Source organism: Homo sapiens, chromosome 5 (assembly GCF_000001405.40).
Source record: "Homo sapiens chromosome 5, GRCh38.p14 Primary Assembly".
Classification (NCBI taxonomy): Eukaryota; Metazoa; Chordata; class Mammalia; order Primates; family Hominidae; genus Homo; species Homo sapiens.
Window position 1 is genome coordinate 139,341,854 of NC_000005.10, and position 23,451 is coordinate 139,365,304.

At 43.7% G+C, this 23,451-nt stretch overlaps 1 protein-coding gene across 8 annotated transcripts in view; it reads left to right on the plus strand.

Annotated features, from left to right (window-relative positions):
* Positions 1 to 23,451, plus strand: part of PAIP2 (poly(A) binding protein interacting protein 2) — a 27,864-nt gene continuing 4,413 nt past the window's right edge. Inside the window, exons 1-4 of one of the 8 annotated variants that reach the window (XM_011543428.2) lie at positions 621 to 763; positions 1,477 to 1,553; positions 21,906 to 22,069; positions 22,711 to 22,890. In XM_011543428.2, the coding sequence (XP_011541730.1) occupies positions 21,932 to 22,069; positions 22,711 to 22,890 (318 nt within the window). In that variant the 5' untranslated portion in view covers positions 621 to 763; positions 1,477 to 1,553; positions 21,906 to 21,931. Of the gene's footprint in view, positions 1,554 to 21,905; positions 22,070 to 22,710; positions 22,891 to 23,451 lie in introns of all 8 variants that reach the window. The other 7 variants (XM_047417265.1, XM_047417266.1, NR_109830.2 and 4 more) reach the window with 7 other exon arrangements.

The window sequence follows — 23,451 nt, forward strand, 5'->3', positions numbered from 1 at the left end:
GTTTGTTTGGACTGGAGAAGGGAGGCGGCGGGCGAAGCGCACGTCGAGCGGGGGAGCGGCGCTGCCTGTGGAGATCCGCGGAGGCCGACAGGATTCGTTGGCTGCCGTCCCCGCTGCTGTGCATTGGGTGAGGGGTCCTCTCGGGCAGAGTGGCGACAGGGGTGCGGAGGTCGAGGGACAGCAAGTCGGCGACGGCAGAGGGGCCTAAAGGGTTCCCTGGGTGGTTGGCCACCGAGTCCATTGCGGCCTCCGTTGTTCATTGCCTCTTTCCACCAAGTCTGAGGGATGAGCTTGGGCCGACTTCGTCTCTGTCTTCTCCGAGACATGGCCGTCGCTTTTTTTTCATTGTCATTATTAATGATTTGGATCTCGCAGCTCTCTATCCGGGTCCTCAGTGGCGCGAGGGTTGCCGGGATAGCACTTTCTCCTGTTCCTCATTCTCCCGGTCCTTTATCCCTCCGCCGGGTACCCTTTCCCCTGCCCCCCTCCCACCGCCTCGGCAACAAAGCTTATTGTTTCTACCCACTTTACGCCTGCGCGTCGCCACGCGCAGCCCCTACTTGCTGCGCGTGCGCGCCTCAGCCGAGGCTGGGGTTTGGGGAGAGAGGGGCGGAGGGACTGGCGGGCTCTTGGCGTCTTGGGGGAACGCTGCAACCGTCGACGGGCCTGATCAGAAGATCGTCTTTCTCCCGTTTCTTCGCCATCGCTACCCCTTATTTTTGGTTGTATTGCAGCTCATGCCCTGGAAAAAAGAACCTTTGGGGTACTGGGAACCCTTACCCTAGGAGGGCGTTGAGTTAGATGAACTTTAAGGTCCTCTTACCTTTTAATAATTTTCTGTGCTTACTCTCCTCCTTCCCCACCATCGCCACCAGAAATAAATAAGGCTTGTGGTGAACTTAGGTCTTCAAAACATTTGTTGCAGCAGCCAGCAGTGATATTTTTTAGGGACTCCTAAAAGGGGTCTTACCTGCTTCCTTTTGTTTCTTTTTTCCCTGATTTGGCACCCGTATCAACTCATAAAAACCCCAAACTCTAGAAAGAATTTGGCTTCCAATTTGCCTTGGAAGGTGTAGCAGCTGACAGCCTTTGACGTTTATTTCAACGGAAAGTAGATGTTCATGTTGGGTGTGCTGGCTAATGTTGAAACGTGGTGGCATTGTTTTTTCACAGATTTCATTAGCACAGTTAGATCAGGTGTTGGTTTATATTTTCATTAAGTCGCTTTTGAAATTTCTTCTGGCGTAGGTTGTGTTTGCAATAAGTAAAAGTTCTCTACAATAATTTTTAATGAGACTCCACTATTTGCTTTTGTGATTCTGTTTCCAGTTAGTGAAAGACAGGATATTTGGGGAAAATTAGTCTGTTTATACTACTTGTCAGTTGTGAACTTGAATAAAACTTTTTCACACACACACAAAATCACAGGATAGGTAACTTGACAAGAACTATAGAACCCACTTGTGTTTCTTTAAGGGATGGAGGTTAGGGAATGGAGATTTCCTCTAATGATTCAAGGCTGTGCACGTTGCTCCTTAGGAACTCAAATTGAGGTAGGTAATTTCACCCTCTTTTGGTCAGAATGAGTTTATAGCAGGCTTTTCCTTAAATAAGCACTCTGCACTTTATTCAGGTTTATCACTTTATGACTCTAGAGTGTGATGCTCCAGTTTTAGTGAAAAACTTGAACACTTAGCACAGCAATTTGGTTGATACTGTGGGAGATTAAAGAATGTGGAAGGCAAGACCTCTGCCCCCTTGTAATCTAATAACCTTTTGTGCTTTTAAAACATTTTCTTGTAATTTACATCCTATTGTCATTCATTATCATGAAACGTGAAATGGGCAGAGCAAGTTTTTTTTTTTTTTTTTTTTTGAGATGGAGTCTCACTCTGTCGCCAGGCTGGAGTGCTGGAGTGCAGTGGCGCAATTGGCTCACTGCAACCTCCGCCTCCCCGGGTTCAAGCGATTCTCCTGCCTCCGCCTCCCTAGTAGCTGGGACTACAGGCGCTTGCCACCACGCCGGCTAATTTTTTGTATTTTTAGTAGAGACAGGGTTTCACCGTGTTAGCCAGGATGGTCTCGATCTCCTGACTTTGTGATCCGCCCCCGTCGGCCTCCCAACAGAGCAAGTTTTATCTTGCCCATTTGGGAATTAAAGAAATAGAAGCCTGAAAGATTATTTTTATTTAGCAAATATTTATATAACAATAATGCCAGGCATTGTTCTCATTGCCTTTACAAATATTAACTAATTTGATCCACAACATAGCTAGAAGGTAGGCCCTACTGTAAAATGAAGATAACAAATGAGACGTGAAGTAACTTTCCCAATGTCACAGAGCTATGATAGTCGGAATTCAAATCCAGATAGTCCAGAGATTCTATGCTCTTAACCATTATGTGGTGCTGTGTGATTTAGTGACAGGTCTAGGGTACTTTAAGGTGGCTATGTAGCATAGCTGGGATTTGAACCTACGTCTTCTGACTGTGGTCTAAGATTAAAGTTGTCCAAGTCATTGCCTTTGTGATCTAGACCACCTGTTGCACAGGTGCATGAATAGTTTGCATTTGATATAGGCTAAGGTTCAGTTCCAAAAAACTCCCTTTTTTCTTAATTTTTTCATTGTTTAGAGTGGTGCTGTCCAATGATGTAGGTACTGTGTGTGGTTATGAGCACTTGAGATGTGGCTAGTGTAAATGAAGAACTAAATTTTAATTAAATAGATCTGTGTAGCCGATGGCCACCATATTGGATGGGCACACGTTTGGAGAATTTGAATAGCCTCTGCTTCTTATATCAGTTTGTATAAATTTGGGTGGCATTTCTAATGTACTTGAGCTTTTATCAGTTAGGATGACCCATTCTTGCTCTCACCTAATTACCCTTGTTACACTACAGTTGAGATTAGGGTAGACTTTGGGATTTTCTTGTGACATTGTTTCACCTCTGTAGATTTAAGATCTCTAATTTTTACCTTGTCCCTTGGTCTAGAGACCTTTAACTGCCCTAAATATTTAATCACCGAGATAGTTAATGCCAATTGTTATGTGCTAGGTTCTCTAACTAGGTACTATTATTAATTCCCATGCAACAGATGAGGAAACCGAGACTCAGGTTAAGTAACTTGCCATGGTCACACAGTTAGTAAAGCAGCCTGGTTCCAGAGCCCATGGGTTTTTGTTGTTGTTGTTGTTGTTGTTGTTTTTGAAACGGAGTCTTGCTCTGTTGCCCAGGCTGGAGTGCAGTGGCGCGATCTCGGCTCACTGCACGCTCCACCTCCAGGGTTCATGCCATTCTTCTGCCTCAGCCTCCTGAGTAGCTGCACCCGACACCACACCTGGCTACTTTTGTTTTTGTATTTTTAATAGAGACGGGGTTTCACCGTGTTAGCCAGGATGGTCTCGATCTCCTGACCTCGTGATCCAACGGCCTTGGCCTCCCAAAGTGCTGGGATTACAGGTGTGAGCCACCGCGCCCAGCCCAGAGCCCATGTTTTTTAATCGTTACCTTACTGTGCCAAATAGTAAAACAAAAAATTCGGTGCTTTTCACAGACTTCAGAGTGGAAAACAGACCAATTGAAAAATGTTGCGATCCTCTTTAACTGCCAAAGGAAGTATGCTTAAACGTATATATGCGTAAAATACGATTAAAAAATATGCAAATAAGGTAAGGATCACAGTGGTTCAAAACAGAGTCCAAGGGAATGAGAAAAGATGGTGCCTATGGAGGTAGATTAATGAAAGAAACAGAAGAGAACTATGCTTGAATTTTTTTTTTTTTTTTTTTGAAACGGAGTCTTGCTCTGTTGCCCAGGCCTGAGTGCAGTGGCATGATCTCATTTCACTGCAAGCTCCACCTCCCGGGTTCATGCCATTCTCTTGCCTCAGCCTCCTGAGTAGCTGGGACTACAGACGCTTGCCACCATGCCTGGCTAATTTTTTGTATTTTTAGGAGAGATGGGGTTTCACCGTGTTAGCCAGGATGGTCTCAATCTCCTGACCTTGTGATCCGCCCACCTCGGCCTCCCAAAGTGCTGGGATTACAGGCGTGAGCCACCGCACCAGGCCTATATTTGAATTTTAATGAGAATTCTTAAAAGATGAAACTAGTGGAGAAAGATTGTAAAACCTAAAAGATTTCTGTATTTTAAAATTCCATAGACAATATAAAAGGACACTGCTGGAAACCAATATGTCTAAGAGGCATTTCAGGAGGGGAAAAACAGCTGAAGACACAATAAAGCCCTAAGTTGATAAATTGAAAGGGTTTGCTGACTTCCAGGCAGTAGTACTGGGAAAAAATTGCTCTTACCTATCCAAAATCTGGTGAAATATATGAATTTGTTAAAACATCTTAAGCTGTCGTCTAGAACAGGATTTTTAAATTTTTATTTATTTTTTTGAGACGGAGATTTGCTCTGTCACCAGGCCGGAGTGCAGTGGCGCAATCTTGGCTCACTGCAACCTCCGCCTCCCAGGTTCCAGTGATTCTCCTGCCTCAGCCTCCCCAGTAGCTGGGACTACAAGCATGTGCCACCACGCCCAGCTAATGTTTGTATTTTTAGAGACGGGGTTTCACCATGTTGGCCAGGATGGTCTCAATCTCTTGACCTCATGATCCACCCCCTTGGCCTCCCAAAGTGTTGGGATTACAGGCGTGAGCCACCGCACCTGGCCTATTTTTATTTTTTGAGATGCAGTCTCCCTCTGATGCTCAGGTTGGAATGCAGTGGCACCATCTCAGCTCACTGCAACCTCTGCCTCCCAGGTTCAAGCAATTCTCCTGCCTCAGCCTCCCGAGTAGCTGGGACTACAAGCGTGCACCTCCATGTCCAGCTAATTTTTGCATTTTTAGAGACGGGGTTTCGCCCAAGTTGGCCAGGATGGCCTCAATCTCTTGACCTCGTGATCCACCCCCTTTGGCCTCCCAAAGTGCTGGGCGTGAGCTGCTGCGCCCAGCTTATTTTTATTTTTTGAGATGCAGTCTCAGTCTGTTGCTCAGGCTGGAATGCACCATCTCAGCTCACTGCAACCTCTGCCTCCCAGGTTCAAGCAGTGCTCCTGCCTCAGGCTCCCGAGTAGCTGGGACTACAGCTGTGCGCCACCATGCCTGGCTTAGTTTTTGTATTACTAGAGATGGGGTTTCACCATGTTGGCCAGGGCCGGTCTCAAACTCCTCACCTCAAGTGATCCACCTCCCTTGGCCTCCTAAAGTGCTAGGATTATAGGTGTGAGCCACTGCACCCAGCCTAGAACAGGATTTTTAAAAGGAAAGAAAATTGATTTTCTACAACATTGAAAGTTGGAATTATTGACAATAGATTATCAACAGGAAGCACAGACATCTCAGAATTCTGTTACAACTAATTTTTTTTTTAGCACATTTACATGGAAATACTCATGTTACAACTTTTTTTTTTTTTTTTTTTTTTTAAGACACAGTTCCGCTCTGTCGCCCAGGCTGGAGTGCAGTGGCGCGATCTTGGCTCACTGCTACCTCCACCTCCCGAGTTCAAGCGATTCTCCTGCCTCAGCCTCCTGAGTAGCTGACACTACAGGCGCCCACCACCATGCCCGGCTAATTTTTGTATTTTTGGTAGAGGCAAGGTTTCACCATATTGGCCGGGCTTTTCTAGAACTCCTGACCTCAAATGATCCACCCACCTTGGCCTCCCAAAGTGGTGGGATTACAGGCCTGAGCCACCACGCCAGGCCATACAACATTTTTATTCAAACATGAAGGCAAAAGATGTTTTGTAGCATTAGGAGATACACCTAATGCTAAATGACGAGTTAATGGGTGCAGCACACCAGCATGGCACATGTATACATATGTAACTAACCTGCACATTGTGCACATGTACCCTAAAACTTAAAGTATAATAATAATTTTTAAAAAACTGTGGTACATCCATAAAAAAAAAAAAGATGTTTTGGACACTGGCTTAGAATGATAAATCCTCAGGTAGCCTTTTGAACTATTTTACAAAGATAGGAAGTTAGGGGAAGATGATGAATATAAGAAACAACTCGGCCAGTGTGGTGGCTCATATCTGTAATCCCAGCACTTCGGGAGGCCGAGGTGGGCGGATCACCTGAGTTCAGGAGTTCTAGACGAGCCTGGCCAACATAGTGAAACCCCATCTCTACTAAAAATACAGAAATTAGCCAGGCACAGGCATGGTGTTACACACTTGTAATTCCAGCTACTCAGGAGGCAGAGGTTGCAGTGACCCGAGATCGTGCAGCTGCACTTTAGCCTGGGCAACAGAGTGAGACTCCATGTCAAAAAAAAAAAAAAAAAAACTACGAGTGATGAATTTATTTATTTATTTATTTATATTTTTTGAGACAGGGTCTTGCTGTGTCACCCAGGCTGGGGTGCAGTGGCGTGATCTTGGCTCACTGCAGCCTCTGCCTCCCAGGCTCGAGCAATTCTCCTGCTTCAGCCTTCTGAGTAGCTGGGACAACAGGGGACCACCACCAAGCCTGGCTAATTTTTTTTTTTTTTTTTGAGACGGAGTCTCACTCTGTCGCCCAAGTTGGAGTGCAGTGGCGTAGTCTCAGCTGACTGCAAGCTCTGCCTCCCGGGTTCACGCCAATTTCCTGCCTCGGCCTCCTGAGTAGCTGGGACTACAGGTGCCTGCCACCATACTTGGCTAATTTTTTTTTGTATTTTTAGTAGAGATGGGGTTTCACCGTGTTAGCCAAGATGGTCTAGATCTCCTGACCCCATGATCTGCCCACCTCGGCCTCCCAAAGTGCTGGGATTACAGGCGTGAGCCACTGTGCCTGGCCACGCCCAGCTAATCTTTGTATCTTTTTTTTTTTTTTTTAAAGTCAGAGTTTCACTCTTATTGCTTAGGCTGAAGTGCAGGACACAGTCTTGGCTCACTGCAACCTCTGCCTCCCAGGTTCAAGCAATTCTCCTGCCTCAGCCTCCCCAGTAGCTGGGATTACAGGTGCCTGCCACCACACCCAGCTAATTTTTGTATTTTTAGTAGAGACGGTTTCGCCATGTTGGCCAGGCTAGTCTTGAACTCCTGACCTCAGGTGATCTGCCTGCCTCAGCCTCCCAAAGTGCTGGGATTACAAGCGTGAGCCACTGTGCATGGCCTGAGTGATGAATTTAGTAAAATATAAATGGATGATAATGTGTATTGTCAAGTATTCAATTCAAAAATTATTTTAAAACATAGTAAGAGAAAACCTAATAGTAGGAATCTACCAGTGCTAACTTCCACAAAACTGAAGATTGGGGAGGGAAGAAGTGTGTAAGTAAAATAATTTTAAAGGGCTTGCCTTGGCTCAGAGTAAGCATTGGGTTGGGTATATTGGAGAAGGAAAGGCATTCTAAATGGATGTATAGAGTTGTTTTTTGCTGTTGTTGTTGTTGTTGTTTTTCTCTGAGACGGAGTCTCGCTCTGTCGCCCAGGCTGGAGTACAGTGGTGTGATCTTAGCTCACTGCAACCTCCGCCTCCTGAGTTCAAGCAATTCTCCTGCCTCAGCTTCCTGACTAGCTAGAACTACAAGCTCACACCACCATGCCTGGCTAATTTTTGTATTTTTAGTAGATACCGGGTTTCGCCATGTTGGCCAGGATGGTCTCGATCTCCTGACCTTGTGATCCACGCGCCTCAGCCTCCCAAAGTGCTGGGATTACAGGCATGAGCCACTGCCTCCTGCCCTTGGAGTACATTTTTAATTGATAGGAAAATAGTTAAAGTTATTAAGTGTAGGAAAATAAACGCTATAGAAAAGAAATAGTTAATAGAACATTTGAAAAAGCATAAGAAAAGTAAACATGAAATTATTATGAAAGACATAAAACGAAACATCAGTTATCAAAAATGTTAATTCCTGGCTGGGCACAGTGTCTCACACCTGTAATTCCAGCACTTTGGGAGGCTGAGATAGGTGGATCACAAAGTCAAGAGATTGAGACCATCCTGGCCAACATGGTGAAACCCCGTTTCTACTAAAAATACAAAAGTTAGCTGGACATGGTGGCGTGCACCTGTGATCCCAGCTACTCGGGAGGCTGAGGCAGGAGAATCACTTGAACGCGGGAGGCAGAGGTTACAGTGATCCGAGATTGCGCCACTACACTCCAGCCTGGCGACAGAGTGAGACTCTGTCTCAAAAAATAAAAATAAGAAATAAAAGTTAGCCAGGTGTGGTGGCGGGCGCCTGTAATCCCAGCTACTCTGGAGGCTGAGGCAGGAGAATTGCTTGAACCCTGGAGGCAGAGACTGCAGTGAGCTGAGATCGCGCCACTGCACTCCAGCCTGGGCAGCAAAGGCGAGACTCTGTCTCAAAAAAAAAAAAAAAAAGTTAATTCCTTATGAGACAGAAATTCTCAGACTGGGTCACATATTCTATCTACTGTAGTAGAGGACTTGGATAAACCACTTTCAGAATTGACCAGATTAAGTAAAAAAGATGAGTGTAATATATACATCATTCTTGTACTTTAGAAATAGAAATCACAGGCCAGGGGCGGTGGCTCATGCCTGTAATCCCAGCACTTTGGGAGGCCGAGGTGGGCGGATCATGAGGTCAGGAGTTGGAGACCAGCCTGGCCAACATGACAAAACCCCATGTCTACTAAAAATGCAAAAATTAGTGTGTCATGGTGGCATGCGCCTGTAGTCCCAGCTACTCGGGAGGCTGAGACAGGAAAAGCACTTAAACTCAGGAGGTGGAGGTTGCAGTGAGCCGAGATTGTGCCACTGCACTCCAGCCTGGGTGACAGAGTGAGACTCTGTCTCAAAAAAATAAATAAATAAATAAATAAAAAATTGAAATAGTTGAGGTTGAAAGATCATACCTGCAACTTATCAAATGGTTAAGCAAAAAAAAAGAAGAAAAAAATAGAGAAAACAGGCAAAAGACTGATGAATCTAGATGAAAGGTTTGTGCTCCTTGTCCTCTTTCAGTTTTTGATATTGGTATAGAAATACACAATTACAGAATAAAGAATCTCAGAATAGATTCAGACAAATGGGAATTCAATTATGATAAACATGAGGAATAAGCTTTCATTAGTGGGGGATGATGTAATTTATATGGAGAAATATAGATCCTTCACATATTCAAATGTTCACATGAACTAAAGATTTAAATATAAAAACTTGAAACTATAAAAATATTGAGAGAAAATACAGGAAATATAATCTCAATGTGGGAAAAGACTTCCCAGAAGCTGTAAAGGAAAACAAATGTCATTTTTAGCTCATCTGATTGCAAAAATAAAATACAATACATATATAATATCTGGGATTGTTGAAGATGCAGCAAAATGGATGCACCCAAACAGTATAATAGGAATGCGTATTGCCACATTTTTATAAATAATCTGTCATCTCTTACAGTTAAAATGCAATGGCCCTTGACACAGTTATTCCCACTTACAGGAATATATCCTATACGAAGCACTACTACCTTGTCTCTACTAAAAAAAAAAAAGAGTGATCATAGCAAGATTGTGTGTAATGGCAAAAAGTGGGAACATAAATGTACATCAGAAGGGGGTGGTTGAATAAGTGGTGTTGTATCCATTAAAAAGTGAAGTATACCAATACCTGTTGACTAGGGAAGATTTTATGTAATGTATTTAATATAATTCTGTTAAAATACAGAAATGCTTTATGTGTGTTTATATAAACAAAGAATTATGAAAGGATACATATTAAGCTGTTAACATTGATGAATTACCTCTATGATAGGATCGGAGAGGGAAAAACTATATACGCTTTAGACGTTTGTATACCTAACTTTTTTTCTTTTTTTTTGTAAGTAGTGTGTACTTTTTACATTCATCCCTGTCACTCTTTTTTTGAGAGATGGGGTCTTGCTGTATCACCCAGGCTGGAGTGCAGTGGTGCAATCATGGTTCAAGTAATCCTCCTGTCTCAGCTTTCCAAGTAATTGGGTCTACAGGTGAACACCACCATGCCCAGCTAATTAAAAATGTTTTTTGTATAGATGGGCTCTTGGTATGTTTCCCACACTGATCTTGAATTCCTGACCCCAAGTGATCCTCCCGCATCGGCCTACACTTCAATGCTTGCTTTCCTAACAAAATTGATCCTAAATTTGTGCAAAGACCCTGCTGTCCAAAAATTTTCAAATGAATACTGAAAGCATAAAGTGAAAAATTACTGTTTATGACAGGTTGAGCATCCCAGTTTGAAAATTTGATATCTGAACTGTTCCAAAGTCCAGAACTTTTTGAATGCCAACATGACACTCAAAATTTCAGATTTGGGATTCTCAACTGCAAGTATAATACAGTATTCCAAAATCTGAAAAAAAAAAAAACACCAAAACACTTCTGGTTCTAAGCATTTTGGATAATCACATTTATTTTGTGATTTTCACTAGGGAAATCTGATTTACAAGTATTTTAATGACTACTAGATACATTAAGCTAGTTTTTCTGAGTTAGTCTTGCCGTGTTATGAAGACGTGTTATCTCCTTTGCATGAGATTAATACTGAACATTTTTTATTTTTGATATATTTTCTGACAGTTTTAGGGTTTTAAAGCATAACATGCCTTGAAACAAATACAGGCTGTAAAAAACCTGGGGAAAAAATATTGGCTTTCTCAGTTAATTCCTGCCAGTTTTTTTTTTGTTGTTTTTTTTTTTTGAGATGGAGTTTCGTCCTTGTTGCCCAGGCTGGAGTGCAATGGAGTGATCTTGGCTCACCGCAACCTCTGCCTCAGCCTCCCGAGTAGCTGTGATTACAGGCATGTGCCACCACGCCCGGCTACTTTTGTGTTTTTAGTAGAGACAGGGTTTCTCCATGTTGGTCAGGCTGGTCTCAAACTCCTGACCTCAGGTGATCTTCCTGCCTCAGCCTCCCAAAGTGCTGGGATTACAGGCATGAGCCACCACGCCCAGCCTACCTGCCAGTTTTATAGTGGGTCAGAATGAGGCATGAGCCAAAGATAAGATAGTAACAGATGAGGCTGGGTGCGTTGGCTCACGCCTGTAATCCAGCACTTTGGGAGGCCAAAGTGGGCAGATCACCTGAAGTTGGGAGTTTGAGACCAGCCTGACCAACGTGGAGAAACTCCCGTCTCTACTAAAAATACAAAGTTAGCCGGGCGTGGTGGAGCATGCCTGTAATCCCAGCTGCTCCGGAGGCTGAGGCAGGACAATCGTTTGAACCCAGGGGAGATGGAGGTTGTGGTGAGCCATTGCACTCCAGCCTGGGCAACAAGAATGAAACTCTGTCTCAAAAAAAAAAAAAAGTAACAGCTGAGTATAGTCAGCCTCTCAGTTTTGTGTTTTTTGTTTTCCTCTGTGACTTATTTGTACCAGAGTTTGTTTTTTTACTGTATTGTTAAGTCATTGTCTGTTTTCGGTCCTTAAAAGTCATTCAAGCAAATTAGGGCCTTCTTTTGTGTTTCCAGCATTTCCTCTAAGTTTTAATTATTTTTGTTCTGGAGAAAAGCATTCTCTCAGCCAGGGGAGACTCTCAACATATATAGGTTTGAGCTCATTGACTCTTAGGATGTTAAAGACATTTGTTTCTGGCTATTTCTGAATAGGATGATGATATACCCCAGCTGTTGTACACATTTTTACTGTGTATTATTTTCTTAAGGGTTACCCTGGAGGTTATAATTAACATCTTAGTTTGTAACAATTCAGTTTGAGTTAATATCAGCTTAGTTTCAAGTGTATCCAAAAGACTATATAGCTTCCTGTCGCCCACCATTATTACATTTGTAATAATGTAATTACAAAATAATTACATGTCTTTTGTAATTTGTTACTACAAAATACATCTTTATACATTGTATGTCCATTAACATAGATTTATAATTCTTATATTATGCATTGTCTTTTCTTTTTTTTTTTTAAGGCAGAGTCTCACTGTTGTTGGCCCAGGCTGGAGTGCAGTGGCGCTGTCTCGACTCACTGTACCCTCTGCCTCCCGGGTTCCAGCAGTTCTCCTGCCTCAGCCTCCCGAGTAGCTGAGATTACAGGTGCCTGCCACCACACCCACCTAATTTTTTTGTATTTTTAGTAGAGACGGGGTTTTGCCATGTTGGCCAGGCTGGTCTCGAACTCCTGACCTCAGGTGATCCACCCACTTCGGCCTCCCAAAGTGCTGGGATTACAGGCATGAGCCACTGTGCCCAGCCTTATCTTTTAAATAATGCAGAAAGAAAGAGGAGTAATAAGCCAAAATATGTTATTACAGACTTTTGTGACTACCTGTATAAGTTACTTTTACTGGCATTTTAATTTTGTGTGGATTCAATTTAATGTCTGTAGAGTTCTTTCATTTCAGCCTGAACGACTCACTTTAGCTTTTCTTATAGGACAGGTCTACTAGTGACAAACTCTGTCCATTTTTTCTTATCTGGCAGTGACTTAATTTCTCCTTCATTTTTGAAAGGGTAGTTTTGCCAGATAAAGAATTCTTAGTTCGATTTTTTTTTCTTTCAGCATTTTGAATATGTTACCTTCTGACCTCCATGGTTTCTGGTGAGAAATCAGCTGTTAATCTTATTGAGGATCCCTTGTATGTAATGAGTTGCTTCTCTTGGTGTTTTCAAGATGCTCTCTTTGTCTTTCAACAATTCGATTGTAATGTGTATTGGTACGGGTCATATTGAGTTTATCCTACTTTGGGTTAATTGAGCTTCTTAGATACATAGATTTGTGTCTTTTTATCAAATTTGGGGAGTTTTAGGCTGTTATCTCTTCAAATGTTTCTGAACTATTCTCCTTTTCTTCTGGTAATTCCATTGTATATATTTTGGCACAGTTGATGTCTCCTGGGTCTGTCAACGTTCTGTTCATTTTTCTTCATTTCCTCATTCTGCTTCTCAGACTGGATAAATCTCAATTGACCTTAACTTAAATTTGCTGATTCTTTTGTCTCTCTGCTCATATCTGCTGTTGAACCCCTCTAGTAAATTTTTCATTTCAGTTGTACCTTTTTTTTTTTTTTTTGAGATGGAGTCTTGCTCTGTTACCCGGGCTGGAGTGCAGTGGCGTGGTCTCAGCTCACTACAGCCTCCACCTCCAGGTTCAAGCGATACTCCTGGCTCAGCCTCCTGAGTAGCTGGGACTACAGGCACGTGCTACCACATCTGGCTAATTTTTGTACTTTTAGTAGAGACAGGGTTTCACTATGTTGGCCAGGCTGGTCTTGAACTCCTGACCTCGTGATCCTCCTGCCCCAGCCTTCCAAAGTCCCAAAGTGCTGGGATTACAAGCATGAGCCACCGCACCTGGCCCAGTTTACTTTTAAACTCCAAAATTTCTATTTGTCTCTCTCTTTTTTTTTTTTTTTTTTGGAGACAGAGTTTTCACTCTTGTTGCCCAGGCTGGAGTGCAGTGGCATGATCTCTGTTCACTGCAACCTCCACTTCTTGGGTTCAAGTGATTCTCCTGCCTCAGCCTCCCAAGTAGCTGGGATTACAGGCATGCACCCCCATGCCCAGCTAAATTTTTTGTATTTTTAGTAGAGACAGGATTTCACCATGTTGTCCAGGCTGGGCTTGAACTCCTGACCTCAGGTGATCTGCCTGCCTTGGCCTCTCAAAGTGCTGGGATTACAGGCGTAAGCCACCACGGCCCACTATTTGTCTCTACTGATATTCTCTATTTGGTGAGACATCATTCTATGGTTCCTTTTATTTTTTTCTACATGGTTTCCTTTAGCTCTTTTAACATACTTAATATACTTGATTTGAAGTCTTTGGCCAGGCACAGTGGCACTTTGGGAGGCTGATGTGGGGAGATCACCTGAGGTCAGGAGTTCGAGACCAACCTGGCCAACATGGTGAAACCCCTTCTCTGCTAAAATAATACAAAAATTAATTGGGTGTGGTGGCGGGCGCCTGTAATCCCAGCTACTTGGGAGGCTGAGGAAGGAGAATCGCTTGAACCCAGGAGGCGGAGGTTGCAGTGAGCCAAGATCAAGCCACTGCACTCCAGCCTGGGCAACACAGGGAGACTCAGTCTCAAAAAATAAATAGGCTGGGCGTGGTGGCTCACGCCTGTAATCCTAGCACTTTGGGAGGCACCTGAGGTCAGGAGTTTGAGACCAGGCTGGCCAACATGGTGAAAACCCTGTCTCTACTAAAAGCTGCAAAAATTAGCCAGACATGGTGTTGGGTGCCTGTGATCCCAGCTACTTGGGAGGCTGAGGCAGGGGAACCACTTGAACCCAGGAGGCAGAAATTGCAATGAGCTGAGATCGTGCCATTGCACTCCAGCCTGGGTGACAGAGCAAAACTCTGTCTCAAAAACGATACGTTAAATAAATAAAGTCGGCTGGGCACGGTGGCTCACGCCTGTAATACCAGCACTTTGGGAGACCAAGGCAGGCGGATCACAAGGTGAGGAGTTTGAGACTAGCCTGACCAACATGGTGAAACCCCGTCTCTACTAAAAATATAAAAATTAGCCAGGCCTGGTGGCATGCACCTGTAATCCCAGCTACTCGGGAGGCTGAGGCAGGAGAATCACTTGAACCCAGGAGGCGGAGGTTGCAGTGAGCCAAGATCGCGCCATTGCACTCCAGCCTGGGCAAAAAGAGCAAAACACTCCTCGTCAAAAATAATAAATAAATAAAGTCTTTGTCCAATGTAATATCTGGGCTCCCTTGGGGACAGTTTCTGTTAATTTATTTTTTGCCTGTGTATGGGCCATACTTTTTTATTTCTTTGCATGCCTCATAATTTTTGTTGAAAATGACATTTCGGGCTGGGCACGGTGACTTACGCCTGTAATCCCAACACTTTGAGAGAGAGTCCAAGGCGAGTGGATTATTTGATGTCAGGAGTTCGAGACCAGCCTAGCCAACATGGTGAAACCCCGTCTCTACTAAAAGTATACAGAAAATTAGCCAGGTGTGCTGGCATGCGCCTGTAGTCCCAGCTACTCGGGAGGCTGAGGCAGGAGAATCGCTTGAACCCGGGAGGTGGAGGTTGCAGTGAGCTGAGATTGAGCCACTGCACTTCAGCCTGAGTGACAGAGCAAGACTCTGTCTCCAGAAAAAAAAAAAAAAAAAAAGACATTTTGAATGATATAATGTGGCAATTCTGGAAATTAGATTCTCCCCAGGTTTGTTGCCACTTATTGTAGTTGTCATTTTAGTGCCTTTTCTGAAAGAGTTTAGTAAAATTTGTATTCTTTTTGTGTGTGTGGCCATTGAAATCTCTCTTCCATTAGCTTAGTGGTCAGCTAGTGATTTGACAGATTTTTTTTAAATGCCTTTAAGCAAAAAACAACTCCCCTAGTCTTGGTATATGGGTCCTATGGATGTGTTGAGGCACACCTTCAACAGCTCTGCCTTTGCCTTCACTTCCTGCATGGGCAGAGCCTGAGCCAGAGGTGAAAACTTAGAGCCTTTTCAGGTCTTTTCTGAACATCTGCTCAGCACTGACATGCCTATGGCTTTCTAGGACTACCAGGATATGTGGGAGCTTTTCAAAGCTCTTACTCTCAAAGCATCTCCTTCACCAGCTTTTCTTCCCAGGCTTTTTACTGTGTTGATTGTTTGCCCCGTTATTGCTACTATATTTACCCTTAACTGTTTTTGACAAATATGTGTGCTACTGCCCCACCTCACTCCCCATAGCAAACTCTTGAGCCAGTCCTTCAGGGAGCCAGGTCAAAACAACCAGAGTTTTTTGTTAATATTTATTATATTGCAGCCAGGGGCCGTGGCTCACGCCTGTAATCCAAACACTCTGGGAGGCTGAAGCGGGCGGATCACGAGGTCAAGAGATCGAGACCATCCTGGCCAACATGGTGAAACCCCGCCTCTACTAAAAATACAAAAATTAGCGGGGCATGGTGGCACGCGCCTGTAGTCCCAGCTACTTGTGAGGCTGAGGAAGGAGAATCGCTTGAACCTAGGAGGCAGAGGTTGCAATGAGCTGAGATTACGCGACTACACTCCAGCCTGGGCAACAGAGCGAGATTCCATCTCAAAAAAATAAAAATAATATTGATATTGCTACCTCCAACTTGTACCAAGAATGCAGGCTATTGTCTTCAAGGCTTACCAAGCTGCAAATGGGAGATGGCACTAGGGTAGTTTAAAATACCACAGAGGTGTTTTACCAGAATTGAACTGTTGGTTTTTTTTTTCTTAAGCATTCCTCTGGAAGTTTATCATTGCATTGGCAGTTCTTTTTAGTAGTTCTGTAGAGATAGGGGTCTCACTATGTTGCCCATGCTGGTTTTCAACAGCTGGGTCTGGAGGCCCACCTCAGACTCCCAAAGTGCTGGGCCCTGGTGCATGTTTTAGAGTCAGGCTACCTTGACTTGAATTTCAGCTCCACTGTTCACTAGTTGTGTAACCTGGAACAAGTTACTTAAGACTTAGTTCTTTGTCATGGAAATGAATTTGACCATAATCCCTACATCCACAGGACTTGTGAGTATTAAATAGATGATGACTGTAAGGCCCTTAAATGCAATACTATTGTTGCATATGTGTTTACTTTTTAAGAAAAATATATACCACATTAGCAGTGCTTACTTTTGGGAAAAGGATTGGGAGTGAGGATTGTGTCTGGTGGTGGGGAGGGAGTCAGCTACCTTTTTTACTCATTTTTTCTATCACAGTTGAAAATGTATAGCTAAAAGACTGACTAGCATTGAACACATTGGGTATATATTCAAGAGAACTGAAAACGTGCTCATATAAAAACTTGTACACAAATACCGATAACAGCATTATTAATAGCCAAAAAGTGGAAACGACTGCAGATGCTCATTAATCAGAGTAGATAAAATGTGTATCTCTATACAATGGAATATTGTTTGGCAATAAAAAGGAATGAAATGCTGATACATGCTACAACATAGGTGAACCTTGAAAACATTGTAATAAGTGAAAGAAGCCAGACATGAGAAGAGGACACATATTTTATGATTCCATTTATATGCAATGTTCAGAATAGGCAAATCTATAGAGACAGAAAGTAGACTAGTGGTTGTCCAAGTTGGGGGGCTTGGGAAATGGAGAGTGACTACAGATGGGTATGGAGTTTCCTTTTGGGGTGGTGAAAATGTTCTGGAATTAGGTAATGGTGGTGTGTTAAAACCACTGAATCAAACACTTTAAAACAGTAAATTCTTTTTTTGAGACGAGGTCTTGCTCTGTTGCCCAGGCTGGAATGCAGTGGCGTGCGATCATGGCTCTCTGCAGCCTTGACCTCGGGCTAATATGATCTTCCCACCTCACTCTCCTGAGTATCTGGGACCACAGGCGTGCACCACCACACCCAGCTAAGTTATTTGTTTGAGACAGAGTCTTACTCTGTCTCCCAGGCTGGAGAGTGCAGTGGCGCGATCTTGGCACACTGGAACCTCTACCTCCTGGGTTCAAGTGATTCTCCTGCCTCAGCCTCCTGTGTAGCTGGCATTACAGGTGTGCGCCATCACACCCGGCTAATTTTTTTTCATTTTCAGTAGAGACAGGGTTTCGCCATGTTGGCCAGGCTGGTCTCAAACTCCTGACCTCAAGTGATCTGCCCGCCTCAGCCTCCCAAAGTGCTCGGATTACAGGCATGAGCCACAGTGCCCGGTGTGAAAAGTAGGATTTTATGGGCATAAGTTGGGACAGGATACAAATTGGGAAAATAATGAAAACCTGTTTATATTGGGGTGTCTTTGTACCTAACTTAATGATAAGGTTCAGATGCAGATTAACCAAAGTTCCATCCAGTTGTGAGGCAGGATCAATCCCAGCCATTCACAGTGTTAGAGGAATATCTAAAATGTAATTATTTAACAGTAAGCAGTTTGGTAGCCTGCCATATAAGAATGAGTAATTTTCGGCCGGACACGGTGGCTCATGCCTGTAATCCCAGCACTTTGGGAGGCTGAGGTGGGCGGATCACTTGAGGTCAGGCGTTTGAGGCCAGCCGGGCCAACGTGGTGAAACCCTGTCTCTACTAAAAATACAAAAAAATTAGCCGGCCATGGTGGCACGCTCCTGTAATCCCAGCTACACAGGAGGCGGAGGCAGGAGAATCTCTTGAACCAGGAGGCAGAGGTTGCAGTGAGCTGAGATTGCACCACTGTACTCTCCGTCTCAAAAAAAAATGGGTAATTTTCTTCTTTTCTTTTTTTTGAGATGTAGTCGCGCTCTGTTGCCCAGGCCAGAGTGCAGTGGCGCAGTCTCGGCTCACTGCAACCTCCACCTCTCAGGTTCAAGCGATTCTTCTGCCTTGGCCTCCCAAGTAGCTGGGACTACAGGTGCGTGCCACCATACCTGGCTAGTTTTTGTATTTTTAGTAGAGACGGGATTTCACCATATTGGCCAGGCTGGTCTCGAACTCCCGATCTCGTGATCTGCCCGCCTTGGCCTCCCAAAGTGTTGGGATTATAGGCGGGAGCCACCGCACCCAGTCTAATTATTTTCTTTAGAGGAACTGGTTATTATTTAGTCAAAACTTGCTATCAAAATAGTTTTTCATCCAAGTTTAATGATAAAAATAACAGATATCCATTGTCTGTTTTCTGTCTTGTCTGCTTTTACAGTGCCTCAATTTCCTAACAAATCATATTATCATATTTTCTTTCTACTAACACCATAGCACATAACTCTGAGTCTGTTTCTGCCTTTCTTCTTTTGTTTGATTGTATTATTGTTTTTCAAGATAGGGTCTTGCTCTGCCGCCCAGGCTGGAGTGCAGTGGCACTATCTCAGCTCACTGCAACCTCCACCTCCCAGGGTCAGGAGATCCTCCTACCTTGGCCTCCCAAGTAGCTGGGACTGCAGGCGTGCACCACTGTACCCAGCTTTGCCATATTGCCCAGGCTAGTATCAAACTCCTGGGCTCAAGCGATCCACCCCTGTTGACCTCCCAAAGTGTTGGGATTACAGGCATGAGCCGCACCCAGTTTGTTTCTTCCTGCCTTTCTTTTTTTTTTTTTCTTTTTTGGAGACAGGGTCTTGCTTTCTTGCCCAGGCTGAAGTGCAGTGATGTGATCTTGCCTCTCTGCAACCTCTGCCTCCCAGGTTCCAGTGATTCTCTTGCCTCAGCCTCCCAGATAGCTGGGATTATAGGCATGCACCACCACATCCAGCTAATTTTTTGTATTTGTAGTAGAGATGGGGTTCTCTATGTTGCCCAGGCTGGTCTCGAACTCCTGGGCTCAAGCAGTCCGCCTGCTTTGTCCTCCCAAAATGCTGGAATTACTGGAGTGAGCCACAGTGCCCGGCCTGCCTTTCTTTTATAGATATACATACTATAACTAGGACAGAAGTTCCCAGAAATTTTTAGTTGAGGACCTCTCAACAATTAAAATTTTCACCACTATGATCCTGTTGTCATTAGTATCTAGTATTTGTCATATTACATGAACAGCTATGGATTTTTATTACACTTATGTCCTCTTAAGGATAAGTCCATAAAATTTAAAGGGCCAGGCAACACACATAGGGTTCATCTTTTCCCTGAAACTTATCCCAAAGGGAAAAAAATACATATATTTCCAGTAGGAGATTTTAGATTTAGTGTTTTACTTGATTATGACAAATGTGAGGTAAGCAGACCTCAATAAGCCTTTCTTTGGCACAAGTCACTATACTGCTTGAGTTTACGTACAGGTGAATTGTTTTATGTAAATCTATTTTTAGTGATTTCAAACTTAATGAATTGGAATATTTTAGAATGTGAAACCTTGTGCTTCAGATATTTAGCCTGCAATGTATCAATTAGGTTAGATCATGTTATCAGCTATTGAGTAGTATAAGACATCAGGCTTGTATTTGATACTACTTTTACTCAGGTGAAAAGATACTGGGCTGGGCGCGATGGCTCATGCATGTAATCCCAGCACTTTGGGAGGCTGAGACAGGTGGATCATTTGAGGTCTTGAGTTCAAGGCTAGCCTGGCCAACATGGTGAAACCCAGTCTCTACTAAAAATACAAAAGTTAGCCAGGTGATAATGGCATACGCCTGTAATCCCAGCTACTCTGGAGGCTGAGGCAGGAGAATTGCTTGAGCCTGGGAGGCGGAGGTTGCGGTGAGCTGAGATCACGCCACTGCACTCGTCTGGGTGAGACCCTGTCTCAAAAAAAAAAAAAAAAAAAAGATGCCTGAAACTCACTGTACAGTGAGGAACTCCAGACATGGAAGAACTTGACATGGACCTAGAGAAAAAGCAGACACAGAATATGGGCTATCAAGGAGAGATCCAGAGCTATATACATGAAGAACCTAAGAAGTTATTAAAAATCTGTTAGTTTTCACTTTCAATCCCTGGACTTTTTGAAGTCAGTTTTTAAAAATTGAATTTGCTTTTCATCATTTCATCACTTGATGACTCAGTCTTTCAGACCGTGTTTGGTTTTTGTTGTTGTTGTTGTTGTTGTTTGAGGTGGAGTTTCCCTCTGTTGCCTAGGCTGGAGTGCAGTGGTGCAGTCTCGGCTCACTGTACCCTCTGCCTCCTGGTTTCAAGTGATTCTCCCACCTCAGCCTCCTGAGTAGCTGGGATTACAGGCATGTACCACCATGCCCAGCTAAATTTTTTGTTTTTGGGTGTTTTTTTTTTTTTTTTTTTTTTGAGATGGAGTTTCACTCTTTTTGCCCAGGCTGGAGTGCAACGGCGCAATCTTGGCTCACCACAGCCTCCGCCTCCCGGGTTCAAGCAATTCTCCTGCCTCAGCCTCCGGAGTAGCTGGGATTACAGGCATGTGCCACCACGCCCGGCTAATTTTGTATTTTTAGTAGAGACGGGGTTTCACCATGTTGATCAGGCTGGTCTTGAACTCTCGACCTCAGGTGATCCACCTGCCTCGGCCTCCCAAAGTGCTGGGATTACAGGCATGAGCCACCGCGCCTGGCCTTTTTTGTATTTTTAGTAGAGACAGGGTTTCACCATGTTAGGCTGGTCTCAAACTCCTGACCTTAAATGATCCACCTGCCCCCGCCTCCCAAAGTGCCGGGATTATAGGCATGAGCCACTGCACCCAGCCGACCATGCTTGCTTTACAAAGCAAGTGATATGTAATATAAAATATAAATTGGATGGTTTGGAGAGTCCATGTAAGCAACTGATGGACTTCATTTACTGTTATCGGAAAACATTAGATGTGGCCGGGCGTGGTGGCGCACACCTATAATCTCAGCACTTTGGGAGGCCAAGGCAGGCAGATCATCTGAGGTCAGGAGTTCAAGACCAGCCTGGCCAACGTGGCGAAACTCCATCTCTACTAAAAATACAAAAATTAGCTGGGCATGGTAGCACGTGCCTGTAATCCCAGCTACTTGGGAGGCTGAGGCGGGAGAATCGCTTAAACATGGGCAGTTGAGGTTGCAGTGAACCAAGATCATGCCACTGCATTCCAGCCTGGGTGACAGAGTGAAACTCTATCTCAAAAAAAAAAAGAAAACATTAGATGTTTTAGGCTGTCCTCTCCTGTTTCTTAAAACATTAAAATCATTTGGAAAAAACAAACATGAAGCTTTCCAATTATTCAACTTACCGTGTATTTTTAATGTATCATCTGCCTCTAACACCTATTCATGATGCCTGCTAATAATAAACAGATGCTCACTAAGAACTGAAAGAATCAGCTGGGCCTGGTGGCTCATGCATATAATCCCAGCACTTTGAGAGGCTTGGGTGGGAGGATCACTTGAGCCCAGAAATTTGAGACCAGCTTGGGTAACACAGACCTTGTTTCTACAAAAAATAAAAAAAATTCAGCCGGGTGGTGTGGTGGTGCACACCTGTAGTCCCAGTTACTTGGGAGGCTGAGGCAAGAGATCGAGGCTGTGGTGAGCCATGATCACACCATTGCACTCCAGCCTGGATGACGGAGTGAAACCTTGTCTCAGAAAGAAAAAACCCTGAATGAGTAAGTAAATTAACTGTGCTGTTGTTCTTTTAAGGTTAAAAACGACAACCAACATCAGCCATGAAAGATCCAAGTCGCAGCAGTACTAGCCCAAGCATCATCAATGAAGATGTGATTATTAACGGTCATTCTCATGAAGATGACAATCCATTTGCAGAGTACATGTGGATGGAAAATGAAGAAGAATTCAACAGACAAGTTAGTTTTTTGTACAAACATGTTTTTATAGTCCATTCTGGCCCTCAATATGATTGTACTTGTCCCTGAAATGTGTTTATCTTGTCCTTTATGTATAAAGTATGTAGACTGATGTGCCACCACTCCTGTTTATTTGGCTGCTGATTACTACCAGGCTTAACTGCTTACGGAAATAACCTGGGGAGCTTGTTTCAGGGTCCCACCCTAGAGATGTCTGAATCAGGAGGATGAGGGTGGAGCCTGGGAAACTTTTTCAGAGCTCTCAGATGGTTCCATTGAGCAGTCAGATGTGGAAACCACTGCCTTATGCCAGTAAGATTGCTGGTTACCGTGAAAGTCAAGAGAATTCAGGAGTCAGGAGCAGACAGGCACAGAAAAAAGAGACAGGCATCTCTTTTTACTTCTTCCCTGCCACCCTCAATGGAAAAAAGAATGTTCTACTAATAAAAGTAAAAACATAGAAAAACCCTAAACAGATAGATCTTCGCCGGTCATTATGGTAAGCATTTTTTTTCCTTAGCATGGAAGCAGAAAAGAAAGTATGACTTTGTGCCTTTAAATGGTTTAGTTCAAGATATTTTAAGCCATTCCTAGTGATATCTACCAAGTGTGCTATAAATTATCCTTTATTATAAATCTAGATAGAAGAGGAGTTATGGGAAGAAGAATTTATTGAACGCTGTTTCCAAGAAATGCTGGAAGAGGAAGAAGAGCATGAATGGTTTATTCCAGCTCGAGATCTCCCACAAACTATGGACCAAATCCAAGACCAGTTTAATGACCTTGTTATCAGTGATGGCTCTTCTCTGGAAGATCTTGTGGTAAAAAGTTATTTTTCATCTTTTTAAAACCTAGTGCATCTTTTGCATAAGTGGAAAAGCCAGCTCCCATCTATTTAAGAATTCTACATCTCTTTCCCCTTCAGAAATTGTGCTGCTTCTGGCCGGGCATGTGGCTCACGCCTGTAATCCCAGCACTTTGGGAGGCCGAGGCAGGCAGTTGACTTGAGGTCAGGAGTTTGAGACCAGCCTGACCAACATGGAGAAACCCCATCTCTACTAAAAATAAAAAATTAGCCGGGCATGGTAGCACATGCCTGTGATCCCAGCTACTCGGGAGGCTGAGGCAGGAGAATCGCTTGAACCCGGGAGACGGAAGTTGTGGTGAGCTGAGATTGCACCATTGCACTCCAGCCTGGGCAACAAGAGTGAAACTCTATTAAATAAATAAATAAATAAATAAATAAATAAATAAATAAATAGAATAAAAAATACAAAATTTGGCCAGGCACGGTGGCTCATGCCTTTAATTCCAGCACTTTGGGAGGCCGAGGTGGGTGGATCACCTGAGGTCAGGAGTTCAAGACCAGCCTGGCCAACGTG